Source organism: Homo sapiens, chromosome 4 (assembly GCF_000001405.40).
Source record: "Homo sapiens chromosome 4, GRCh38.p14 Primary Assembly".
Lineage (NCBI taxonomy): Eukaryota > Metazoa > Chordata > Mammalia > Primates > Hominidae > Homo > Homo sapiens.
In genome coordinates this window covers 128403749-128417702 of record NC_000004.12, presented here as the reverse complement: position 1 = coordinate 128417702, position 13954 = coordinate 128403749, and the positions used below count along the sequence as shown (strand labels likewise).

General features: G+C 40.0%; 3 annotated features.

Annotated features, from left to right (window-relative positions):
* Positions 670-1169: an enhancer, noted in NCBI's record as "H3K27ac hESC enhancer chr4:129337689-129338188 (GRCh37/hg19 assembly coordinates)". NCBI's record gives its function as "activates a minimal SCP1, AML or CMV promoter by ChIP-STARR-seq in primed H9 embryonic stem cells {active_cell/tissue: H9 hESC(primed)}" and the evidence as "EXISTENCE:reporter gene assay evidence [ECO:0000049][PMID:30033119]".
* Positions 1170-1671: an enhancer, noted in NCBI's record as "H3K27ac hESC enhancer chr4:129337187-129337688 (GRCh37/hg19 assembly coordinates)". NCBI's record gives its function as "activates a minimal SCP1, AML or CMV promoter by ChIP-STARR-seq in primed H9 embryonic stem cells {active_cell/tissue: H9 hESC(primed)}" and the evidence as "EXISTENCE:reporter gene assay evidence [ECO:0000049][PMID:30033119]".
* Positions 2293-2462: an enhancer, noted in NCBI's record as "experimental_73994 CRE fragment used in MPRA reporter constructs". NCBI's record gives its function as "activates a minimal promoter by MPRAs in K562 erythroleukemia cells, with activity observed for both the introgressed and non-introgressed 4:129336481 variant alleles {active_cell/tissue: K562}" and the evidence as "EXISTENCE:reporter gene assay evidence [ECO:0000049][PMID:34662402]".

Here is a 13954-nt window from a genome sequence, read left to right as displayed (position 1 = left end):
TCACTGAGGATAGAACAAAAATAAATAGGTTCATATTACAGCAAGTGGGATTTGGGTTTCTTACAAAAAGTTCCTGGTGATGAGAACCTATACAAACAGCATGTTCAAGTAGAAGGGGAAGAGGGTCAGGTCCCAAGTCTGAGGAGCTGGGTTGGCTTTATCACATATTAGCTGCAATCTTATTCAAGCTACTTGACCTCTCTGTACTCAAGTGTATGATTTAAATAAGATAGTATAGGAAAAGTACTTTGCATCAACAAGTATTTTTTTAATAGTGTTATTTTCATCATATGAATCCAGCAAGATAAAAATCCCAAACCCAAATTTCTCATTATTGACACACAATTGCCCCAAGCCTTCACTTTCACCAGGAAAGAACCAAGGCCTGAGATGAGGGATGTTTAGCTGTGTTTGAAGTGTTCAGAGGAGGGGACACAGGTAGCATATGTCTGCTCCATGGATAAAAGCCAAAATAGCAAGTAGATACTTACCTTTCAAACATATCATTTGTAGAGAATGCTTGAATTCATCAGAGAAGACATAGGAAGTGCCAGAAGTAAGTTAGGAAAAAGTCTGAGGCAGCTTGCCAAGCCAGGAACTGACTGACAGCCGGGAGAGGCTCCCGGACATGGGGAAACAGTAAAAGAGAAATTCCAGAGCTCCGAAACAGGCTTTTATGATCTTAGCTCTGAGAGAAACCCTCTGCCCACTAGCCCCTTGTGCCTGACATACATACAGAGCTGCCTAAAGACTGCACAGAGATGTTGCTCCAGAAAGAAAACCCACACAGAATCCTACAGGCATCCAAGCCTGGAGCAGCCTCAGCTGGAAGCCATTTTGATTTGAGCCTAGATACCAGGGATTTACAGACATAGCTACAGCCACTGCACTGCTCCAAGGAGGGAGACCAGAGGGCAGGTACCTCCATGCACCCCCGCGAGGGTACTTGCCACCCTGCTGTGAGCTGCTGTTGAGACTGAGATGCAAGCAGACCACACTCCCCTCAGCTTCTTGCTCATGCTTCCTGCCTGGATGGTGCCCCACCCTCTCCAGTCCCAGGTTCTGGGGCCATTTTGAGAGTTTAATCCCAGGCTGCACCCTACCTTCAACCTGAACTCAGGCTGACGAGGATGTGGTCACCACCCAGCCAAGGAGGGGCAGGCAAGCCAGGCTCCCCTATACGTATCTAGGAAAATACCCAATGCCTTGCTATAGGCTGCTGTGAGACTAAGAATTTAGTGGACTGCACTCCCCACAGCTTCCTGCCCATGCTGCTCACCCGAGAGGAGTCCCACCGTCTCCAGTCACAAATCCACACCTGGAACCATTTGGGGAGTTTAGAGATGTCGTTTGGCAACCCGGTAGTGGTGGCTACAACATTCATTGTAGTCTTGGGCCAGAGTTTCCAGTGCTTGCTCTGGAACTGGCGAAGGACCCGCACAGCCAGAATTAAGTGGCAAGTGTGGAGAGTGCCCCAGCAGTAGGCATTGAATTAGACTTTCTCCTGTTGCAGGACAGGAATGGGAGGAGAGTTGCTGAAGTCTAGGTTTCTCCCAGGCTGCAAGACTTGCAGCAGAGACAGCTTTGTGATCTGGAAGCAGTCTGAGTGTGTCATTGCTAGGTCCCCCAGCCTGCTCCCTTGGTCAGTTGGGGGACAGGGCCCTACCAGCTACAAGGAGCAGGAGGGAGACGGACCCCACTCCCGAGGAAATCTAATCCTTAGCACAGACTACCCCTAAGGGAGGAGAGAGCACAGCCCACCCAAGACCCCCTTGGGTCAAAAGAAACACAAGCACAGCACCAGACACTGGAGGCAGCACCACTGTAGCCCAAAAACAGATGTGGAGAGGAATCTTCTCTCACCCCACCTTCCTCATTGCACTGTCACAGACTCAGCAGCAACCTATTCCCATCAGGGCCTAGGGAGCACGAGCTGAAATAGTCTGCTTCTCAGGCTTTTCTAGTAGCTCCACCTCCACTGAAGGCTAATGTGCACTGGGAGTGAGTATTTTTTGTGCTTCTCTGTTTCCTCTGCTCCCATCTTTACCTGCTGGCTCTTACCCTTAAGCTCCATCTACTAGACTGCAGCCTGAATTACATAACCAAAGAAAATTGCATTGCTACAACAAGCCCCATCTGAGAAAGCCACTGCATGAACCTATCTGCAACCAAGAAACCTGTGCAGAGCTAGGACCCTTAAAGCACCCAGAAATGCAGCCAATCTATTACATATATATATATTACAAATACCACAGCCATACAACCAAAGGAAAAAAAAAGATTAAAAAATCAAGGAGCCCCATCCAAACAATAGCAAATTCAAAAAGAAGGAGAAGGAGGAGGAGAAGGAGAAGCAGCAGCAGCAGCAGCAGCATCCGCTCTCTCAGATGAGAAGGAATCAGTGGAAGTACTCGGACAATAAAAACAGCCGGAGTGTTTTATCATCTCCAAAGGATCCCACTAGCTCCCAAGCAATGGGTCCCAACCAGAATGAAATGTCTGAAATGACAGATATAGAATTCAGAATATGGATGGCAAAGAAACTCAATGCTGAGATAAAGTTGAAATATAACACAAAGAAAACAGAAAAATAATCCAAAATTTAGAAGACACCATAGCTATATTATGAAAGAACCAAGCAGAACCTTATGGAATTGAAAATGTTGTTTCAGGAATTTTAAAACACAGAAGCATTAATAACAGACCAAGGTGAAGAAAGAATTTCAGAGCTTGAAGACTGGTCCTTTGAATTGACCCAGTCAGGCAAAACTTTGTTTAAAAATAATCAAAATATAAACAAAGCCTTCAATAACCATGGGATTATGTAAAGTGATCAAATCTATGATGTACTGGCATTCCTGAGAGAGAAGAAGAGAAAGTAAGCAACTTAGAAAACATATTTGAGGATATAATTCAGGAAAATTTCCCCAATTTTGCTAGAGAGGTTAGCATGCAGATACAAGAAATCCAGAGAACTTCTGTGAGATATTATAGAAGATGACCATCCCCAAGGCAGATAGTCATCAGACTGTCCAAGGTCAACATGAAAGAAAAAAACCTTAAAGGCAGCTAGAGAAAAAGATAATATAGGCTCATATTACCTATAAAGGGAAACCCATCAGAACTAACAGCAGACTTCTCAGCAGAAACATTACAAGCCAGAAGAGATTGGGGGCTCATTTTTAGTATTCTTAGAGAAAAGACATGCCAGCATAGAATTTCATATCCTGCCAAACTAAGCTTCATAAACAACAACAAAAAAAATAAAGTATTTCCCAGACAAGCAATTGCTAAGGAAATTCATCACCACCAGACTGGCCCTACAAGAGATGCTTAGGGAGTTCTAAACATGGAAATTAAAGAATGATACTTGCCACCCCAAAAGCACACACAAACATATAGCCCATTAATTCCATAAAACAACTACACAATCAAGACTACAAAGCACTAGCTAACAATACTATGACAGGGAAAAAAAAACCTCACATATCTATATTAACCTTGAACATAAATGGCCTATATGCTCCACTTAAAAGACACAGAATGGAAAATCGGATTTAAAAAATAAGACCCATCTTTCTACTGTCTTCAAGAGAGCTATCTCACATGTAATGACACCCATAAGCTCAAAGATGGAGAAATTTCTATTATGCAAATGGAAAACAAAAAAGAGCAGAAATCACTATTCTTGTATCAGATAAAATAGACCCTAAACCAACAACAGTAAAAAAGGACAAAGACGGCATTACATAATAATAAAGGGTTCGATTCAACAAGAAGACTTAACTATCCTAGATACATATGCACCCAACATTAAAGTACCCAGATTTATAAAATAATTACTTCTAGACCTAAGAAAAGACTTTGACAGCCACACAATAATAGTGGGGGGACTTCAACACTCCACCAGCAGCAATAGACAGATTATTGAGCTAGAAAACTAAAAAAGAAATTTTGGACTTAAATATAAACTGGAACAATCAGACCTAATAGACAGAACACTCCACAGAATATTCTACCCAACAACCACAGAATATACATTCTTCTCATCTGCACACAGAACATACTCTAATATTGACCAGCTGCTCATTCATAAATCAAGTCTCAACAAATTTTTTAAAATTGTAATCATACCAATGATCTTCTTGGACCATAGTGGAATGAAAGTAGAAATCAATACCAAGAGGAACTCTCAAAGGTACATGAACATACGGAAACTAAAAAACATGCTCTCGAATTATTTGGGGGTAAAAACTAACGGCAGAAATTTTAAAAATGTTTTGAAAGAAATGAAAATAGAGACACAACATACCAAAACCCCTGGATGTGGCAAAAGCAGTGTTAAGAGGAAAGTGTATAGCGCTAAATGACTACATCAAGAATATAGAAAGATTGCAAATTAACAACCTAACCTCACACCTGAAGGAATTAGAAAAGCAAGAACAAACTAAACCCAAAGCTAGCACTAAAAAGAAATAACTAAAATCAGAGCAGAACTAAATGAAATTGAGACCAAGAAAACATACAAAGAATCAAGATTTAAAAAGCTGGTTCTTTGAAAGAATCAGCAAGATTCATAGACTGTTAGCTACATTAACAAAGAGAAAAAGAGAGACAATCTAAATAAGCACAATGAGAAACAACAAAGGTGATATCACAACCAATCCCACAGAAATACAAAAGATCCTCAGGGATGACTATGAACATCTCTATGCACACAAACTAGAAAATTTAGAGGAAACGGATAAATTCCTGGAAACATACAAACACCCAAAGTTGAACCAGGAAGAAAAAGAAATTCTGAACACACCAACAAGTAATGAAATTGAATCAGTAATAAAAAACCTACCAATCAATAAAAAGCCCTGGACTGTATGGATTCACAGCCTAATTCTACCACATGTTCAAAGAAGAACTGGTACCAAACCTGAAGAAACTATTCCAAAAAATCAAGGAGGAGGGATTCTTCCCTAACTCATTCTATGAAACCAGTACATCCTGATACTAAAATCTGGCAAAGACACAACAAAAAAGAAAACTACAGGCTAATATCCCTGAAGAACAGAGATGCAAAAATCCTCAACAAAATACTAGCAAACTGAACCCAGCAGCACATCAAGAAGTTAATTCACGACAATCAAATGGGCTTTATTCCTGGAATGCAAGGAGAGTTCAACATATACAAATTAATAAATGTGGTTTGCCACATAAACAGAATTGAAAACAAAAACCATATAAACATCTCATTAGACACAGAAAAAGCCTTCAATAAAATTCAACATTCCTTCATGATAAAAACTCTCAACAAACTAGGCACCAAAGGAACATAGCTCAAATGATAAGAGCCATTTATGACAAACCCACAGCCAACATCATATCGAATGGGCAAAAGCTGGAAGCTTTTTTTTCCCTAAGAACTGGAACCAGACAAGTCCACTCTCACTACTTCTATTCAACATAGTACTGGAAGTCCTAGCCAGAGAAATCAGGCAAGAAAAAGAAATAAAACGCATTCAAATAGGAAAAGAGGAAGTCAAATAATCTTTCTTCACTGACAATATGATTCTATACCTAGAAAATCCTAAAGACTCCACCATAGGATTCCTAGAAATGATAAATGACTTCAGGGAAGTCTCAGGATACAAAATCAATGTACAAAAATCACATTTCTATACACCAATAATGTTCAAGCTGAGAGCCAAATCAAGAATGTAATCCCATTTGCAATAGGCGCACACAAAAACATCTCTAGGAATACATCTAACAAAGGAGGTGAAATATCTCTATGAAGAGAACTGTGAAACACTGTTGAAAGAAATTATAGATGACACAAACAGATACAAAATCATTCTATGCTCATTAATCAATATCATTAAAAATGTCCATACTGCTCAAAGCAATCTACAGATTCAATGCTATTCCTATTAAATTACCAATATCATTTCCCACAGAATTAGAAAAAAACTATTCTAAAATTCATATGGAACCTAAAAAGAGCCTGAGTTGGCAAGGCAATCTTAAGTAAAAAGAATAAAGCTGGAGGCGTCGCACTACTTGACTTCAAGTTATACTACAAGGCTATAGTAACCAAAACAGCATAGTGCTGGTACTAAAATAGACATGTAGACCAATGAAACAGAATAGAGACCCCCAAAATAAAACCACACACCTACAACCAACTGATCTTCAACAAAGTCAACAAAAATTAATAATGGTGAAAGGATACTCTATTCAATAAATTATGCTGGGGAAACTAGCTAACCATATGCAGAAGAATGAAACTGGACCCCTACCTCTCACCATATATTAAAATTAACTCAAGATGGATTGAAGACTTAAATGCAAGACCTCAAACTATAAAAATCCTAAAAGAAAACCTAGGAAATCCTTTTCTAGATATTGACCTAGGCAAAGAATTTATGATGAAGACCCCAAAAGCAAATGCAATAAAATAAAAAATAGACAAATGGGACTTAATTAAACTGAAGAGCTTCTACACAGCAAAAGAAATGATTAACAGAGTAAACACACAACCTACAGAATGGGAGAAAATATCTGCAAACTGTGCATCTGACAGAGTATTAATATCCAGAATCTATAAGAAACTTAAACAACAAGCAAAAAAGAAACAACCCCATTAAAAAGTGGGCCAAGGACATGAACAGACACTTCTCAAAAGATATAAGTAGCCAAAAAACATGAAAAAATGCTCTTCATCACTAATCATTAGAGAGATACATATCAAAACCACAATATCTCATACAAGTTAGAATGACTAATACTAAAAAGTCAAAAAATATTTTTAAATGGTGGATAAGAGGCAGAACTAACTTGCAGGTTTCATTTGGATGGACAGAACAGCATGTGGAGACTCATATTGTGAACTTTTGCTCCAAGAACTACCACAGGAACAGACTGCAAAAACCGAAATAATTCACAGATCCTTTGAAAGAAGCAGCTTGGTGCTGCAAACTCAGTGAGACAGCCAAAAAATTGTGAGTGCCCAAAGTGTGAGAGGCGGAAAGTCTACCTCCGAACACACATCTTCACTGGGGAACCCTAAAATCCAGATCACAGGAGAATGATTTAACCTTACCTATAGCTGAAATGAATTTAGAGAACCAAGCAAAATATAAAAGTAGAAGATGGGAAGAACCCTGTAGGTACTCCTGGTCGCCAGGGAAACCCGGGTGGCCATTTCTGAGTTTATCCCTCAGGAGTCCTTGGGGAGGGCTGCCAGTGGAATTGGAGAAGGACCACAGGGAGAAGGAAACTCCCAGCCGAACTCTGTAATAATTTCCATCGAACGTGAATTTTCCTGGGAGTAGAGGGAGTGAACGGAAAGTGCAGATATAAGCACAGAAGCTGAGGCAGGTGGGGAGGGTTGAAACTGAGTCCTGAAAGCCCTGCTTGCTTCTTCAGTGGGGAGGCTTATAGCCTGGGGCAAGATCTCAGCCCTACTCACCAGCTGCCTGAATATAAACTCAGTGCTGTTGATGGGGCATGGTAGGGGTGAGGCCAGCCTAGCTGGCTGCATGGGAGCCGGGTAAGGCCTGTCACTGCTGGTTTTCCCCAACTTTCCTGGTGACCTGTATGTTGCAGCAGAGGCAGACATAATCCCCCTGGGAACATAACTCCATTGGCCTGAGAACCACACCCCTATCCCCCACTGAGAGCCACAGCAAGGTGAGCCAGAACTCAGACATGCCTACCCCTGCCCCCACTTGATGGTCTTTCTCTACCTACCCTGGTAGCAGAAAACAAAAGACATAATCTCTTGGAAGCTCTATGGCCCTGCTCATTACCTGAGAAACCCAAATACGTTTTTTTTGTTTGTTTGTTTTTGTTTTTTTTTGAGATGGAGTTTCCCTCTCATTGCCCAAGAAGGAGTGCAATGGCACAATCTCGGTTCACTGCAACCTCCACCCCCCGGGTTCAAGTGATTCTCCTGCCTCAGCCTCCTGAATAGCTGGAATTACAGGCATTCATCACCACACCTGACTAATTTTGTATTTTTAGTAGAGACGGGGTTTCTCCATGTTGGTCAGGCTGGTCGTGAACTCCCAACCTCAGGTGATCTGCCTGCCTTGGCCTCCCAAAGTGCTGGGATTATAGGCGTGAGCCACCGTGCCCAGCCAAAACCTGAATACTTATCCAGACAACCTCAGGGCAAAATTGTATCCCCACTATACTACGACAGTTGATGCTCTCTTGAAAGCACCACTTCCTGACTGGAAGTCAACCAATTCAAGCCATTACAGCAACTCAAAAAAAAAGCAACCTTGTTCCAAGAAAGGAGAAAACAATAGCTAATTCCACCGCCTATAACATCCTGGCAAACCAGAGGTCCTGAGTCTGCCCACAGGATAACTTCACTCCTAGCACAACCAGCATTTGAGAAAACCAGCATACTAAACAAAACTACAACTAAGGACCCACACAGAGTCTACTTCACTCCCCTGCTACATACACTGGAGCAGGTGATGGTATCCATGGCTAAGAGACCTGAAAACTGATCACATCACAGGACTCTGCAGATATTCCCCAGTACATGCCCAGAGCCTGGTAGTTATGCTGGGTGGCTATACCCAGAAGAGCAATAACAATCACTGCAGTCCACCTCTCAGGAAGCCCCATCCCTAGGGGGAAGGGGGAGAGTACCACATCAAGGGATCAACCTATGACACAAAAGAATCTGAACAGCAGCCTTTGAGCCCCAGATCTTTCCTTTGACATAGTCTACCCAAATGAGAAGGAACGAGTAAAATAATTCTGGTAATATGACAAAGCAAGGTTCTTTAACATCCCCAAAAAATTACATTAGCTCACCAGCAAATCCAAACCAAGAAGAAATCTCTGAATTACCAGATAAAGAATTCAGAAGGTTGATTATTAAGCTCCTCAAGGAGGCACCAAAGAAAAATGAAAACCAACTTAAAGAAACTTAAAAAATAATACAGGATATGAAAGAAAAAATGTCAAAAGAAATAGCATAAAAAAAAAATTACAACTTCTGGAAAGACACACTTAGAGAAATGCAAAGTACACTGGAAAGTTTCAACAATAGAAGAAAGTACTTCAGAGCTCAAAGACAAGGCTTTTGAAATAACCCAATCTGACAACGACAAAGAAAAAAGAATTTTAAAAAAATGAACAAAGCTGCCAAGAAGTGTGAGATTATGTTAAACAACCGAACCTAAGAATAATTGGTGTTCCTGAGGAAGAAGATAAATCTAAAAGTTTGGAAAAATTATTTGAGAGAATAATCAAGGAAATCTTCCCTGGCCTTGCTAGAGATCTAGACATTCAAATACAAGAAGCTTGAAGAATACCCAGGAAATATACTGCAAAAGATAGTCACCTAGGTGCATAGTCATCAGGTTATCTAAAGTCAAGATGAAGGAAAGAATCTTAAGACCTGTGAGGCAAAAGCACCAGGTAACCTATAAAAGAAAACCTATCACATTAACAGCAGATTTCTCAACAGAAACCCTACAAGCAAGAAGGGATTGGAGTCCTATCTTTAGCCTCATTAAACCAAACAATTATCAGCCAAGAATTTTGTATCCAGTGAAACTAAGCTTCATAAACTAAGGAAAGACAGTCTTTTTCAGACAAACAAATGCTGAGAGAATTTGCCACTACCAAGCCAGCATTAAAAGAGCTGCTAAACAAAACCTCAAAATACACCAGAATAAAACCTTAAAGCATAAATCTCACAGGGCCTATCAAACAATAACACAATGAAAAAAACGTATTTAGGCAACAGCTAGCACAATGAATAGAATAGTACCTCACATCTCAATACTAATGTTGAATGTAAATGGCCTAAATGCTCCATTTAAAACACACAGAATGGCAGAATGGATAAGAATTCACCAACCAGGTATCTGCTGTCTTCAAGAGACTCATCTAACACATAAAGACTCACATAAACTTAAGGTAAAGGGGTGGAAAAATATATTACATGCAAATGGACACCAAAAGCAAGCAGGGGTAGCTATTCTTATATCAGACAAAACAGACCTTAAAGCAACAACAGTTAAAAAAGACAAAGAGGGCCAGGCACAGTGGCTCATGCCTGTAATCCCAGCACTTTGGGAGGCCGAGGTGGGCAGATCATGAGGTCAGGAGATCGAGACCATCCTGGCTAACATGGTGAAACCCCATCTCTACTAAAAATACAAAACAATTAGCCAGGCGTGGTGGTGGGCACCTATAGTCCCAGCTACACGGGAGGCTGAGGCAGGAGAATGGTATGAACCTGGGAGGCAGAGCTTGCAGTGAGCCAAGATCATGCCACTGCACTCCAGCCTGGGCAACAGAGTGAGACTCCGTCTCAAAACAAAACAAAACAAAAGACAAAGAGGGATATTATATAATGATAAAAGAACTAGTCCAACAGGAAAATATTACAAACCTAAATATATATGCAGCTAACACTGGAGCTCCCAAATTTATAAAACAATTACTACTAGACCTAAGAAATGAGATAGATGGCAACACAATAATAGTGGGGGACTTTAATACTCAACCAACAGCACTAGACAGGTCATCAAGACAGAAAGTCAACAAAGAAACAATAGACGTAAACTACACCCTAGAACAAATGAACTTACCAAATATTTATAGAACATTCTACCCAACAACTGCAAGATATACATTCTATTCATCAGCACATGGAATATTCTCCAAGATAGACCATCTGATAGGCCACAGAACAAGACTTAACAAATTTAAGAAAATAGAAATTATATCAAGTATTCTCCCAAACCATAGTGGAATAAAATTGGGAATCAACTCCAAAAGGACCCCTCAAGACCATGAAAATTAAGTAAGCTATTCCTGAATGATAGTTGAGTCAACAATGAAATCAAGATAGAAATTTAAAAATGCTTTGAACTGAATGATAACAGTGACACAACCTATCAAAACCTCTGGAATACAGCAAAAGCAGTGCTAAGAGGAAAGTTCATAGCATTAAATGCCTACATCAAAAAGTCTGAAAGAAAACAAATAGACAATCCAAGGTCACATCCCAAGGAACTAGAGAAACAAGAACAAACCAAACCCAAACCCAGCAGAAAAAATGAAATAACCAGGATCAGACCAGAATTAATGAAACTGAAACAAAAAAATACAAAAGATAAATGAAACAAAAAGCTGGTTCTTTGAAAAGATAAACAAAATTGATAGACCATTAGTGAGACTAACAAAGAAAAGAAGAGAGAATATCAAAATAAGCTCAATTAGAAACAAAATGGGAGATATTACAACCGATAACACAGAAATACAAAAGATCATTCAAGGCTATACAGACACCTTTACATGCACAAACTAGAAAACCTAGAAAAGATGGATAAATTCCTGGAAATATACAACCATCTTAGATTAAACCAGGAAGAAATAGAAACTCTGAACAGATCAATAACAAGCAGCAAGATTGAGATGATGACAAAAAAATCACCAACAAAAAAAAGCCCAGGACCAGATGGATACACAGCTGAATTCTATCAGACGTTCAAAGATGAATTGGTACCAATTGTATTGAAAGTACTCCAAAAAAATAGAGAAAGAAGATAAATCGTTCTATGAAGCCAGGATCACCCTAATACCAAAACCAGGAAAGGACATAACAAAAAAAGAAAACTACAGACTGATGTCCCTCATGAACATAGACACAAAAATTCTCAACAAAATACTAGCTAACTGAATCTAACAGCATATCAAAAAGATAATCCACCATGATCAAGTGGGTTTCGTACCAGGGATGCAGGGATAGTTTAAAATACACAAGTCAACAAATGTGATACACCATATAAACAGAATTAAAAACAGAAATCACATGATCATCTCAATAGATGCAGAAAAAACATTTGACAAAATCCAGCAGCACTTTGTGATTAAAACCCTTAGCAAAATCGGCATAGAAGGGATGTATCTTAATGTAATAAAAGCCATCTATAATAAACCCAAAGCCAACATTATACTGAATAGGGAAAAGTTTAAACCATTCCCCCTGAGAACTGGAATAAGACAAGGTTCCCACTTTCACCACTTCTATTCAACATAGTACTGGAAGTCCTAGCCAGAGCAATCGGATAAGAGAAATAAATAAAGGGCATCCAAATTGGTAAAGAGGAAGTCAAACTGTCACTGTTCACCAATGATATGATCATATACCTAGAAAACCCTACAAACTTATCCAAAAAGCTCCCAGATCTGATAAATAAATTGACTAAAGTTTCGGAACACAAAATCAATGTACACAAATCCATAGCACTGCTATACACCAACAGTGACCAAGTTGAGAATCAAATCAAGAACTCAAACACTTTTACAATAGCTGCAAAAATAAAATAAAATAAAATAAAATATTTAGAAATATACCTAACCAAGCAGGTGAAATAATCCTACAAGAAAAACTACAAACCACTGCTGAAGGAAATCACAGACAACACAAACAAATGGAAATACATGCCATGCTCATGGATGGGTAGAATCAATATTGTGAAAATGACCATACTGCCAAAAGCAAATCTACAATTCAATGCAATTCCCATCAAAATATTATACCATCATCATTCTTCACAGAACTAGAAAAACAATCCTAAAATTCATATGGAACCAAAAAAGAACCTGCAGAGCCAGTGCAAGACTAAGAAAAATAACAAATCTGGAGACATCACATTTCCTGACTTCAGACTATAGTATAAGGCCACAGTCACCAAAACAGCATGGTACTGATATAAAAATAGGCACATAGACCAATGGAACAGAATAGAGAACCCAGAAATAAACTCGAATACTTACAGCCAACTGATCTTTGACAAAGCAAACACAAACATAAAGTGTGGAAAGGACACCCTATTCAACAAATGGTGCTGGGATAACTGGCAAGCCACATGTATTAGGTTGGTGCAAATGTAATTGCAGTTTTTGCCATTAAAAAGTACTAGCAAAAACCACAATTATGTTTGCACCCACTTAATAGAAGAATGGAACTAGATCCTCATCTCTCACCTTACACAAAAATCAACTCAAGACTGATCAAAGACTTAAATGTAAGACTTGAAGCCATAAAAATTCTAGAAGACAACATCAGAAAAACCCTTTTAGACATTGGTTTAGGCAAAGACTTCATGACCAGGAACCCAAAAGCAAATGCAACAAAAGCAATGATAAATAGATGGGACTTAATTAAACTAAAAAGCTTATTCACAGCAAAAGAAATAATCAGCAGAGTAAACAGACAATCAGATATTGATCATCAAGACAGATGGGAGGCAGGACTAGATTGCAGCTCTGGACAGAGCAGCATGAGGAGACTCACACTGTGAATTTTAGCTTCAAATTAACTGCAAGAACAAAGCATCAATCCCGAGAAGACCCACACACCCTCTAAAGGAAGCGGACTGATCCTGCAGGACCCAGGAGACACCTCAAATACTGTGAATGCCCCAACTGCAGAATTGAGAAAGGGAGACCCACCTCTCCCAAACACACACCCCCACTGGAGAAACTGAAGGTCTGTTTGCAGGAGAAGTTTCTGACTTTACCTGGAGCTGAGTCAATGTGGAGAGCGGAGTGAAATACAGGGGTACAGGAAGCAGCAGAAAGGCCCTGGGAGTTCACTGGGTCCCCAAGCGGGCCATTCCTGCTGGCAACACAGGGATTCATCAGGAGGGCGGCCAGAGGAACAGGGAGTGAAACTCCACAGGGACAAGGAAATCTCTAGCTGAACTTTGTAACAATTTGAATGGGGCAAGGGGCAAGAAGCCTGCTGGCCAGAACTCGGGAGAGGGCATGAATCCCATGTGCAGATTCCACAGAAGAAGAACCAACCCCTTTTCTTTAGCAGCTGGGAGGCAGGTAGCCTGGGGCAAGCTTTCAAGCCCCTCTTGCCCACTGCCCAGAAACGGACTCTGGGCTGTTGTGGGGGTGGGGGCATAGT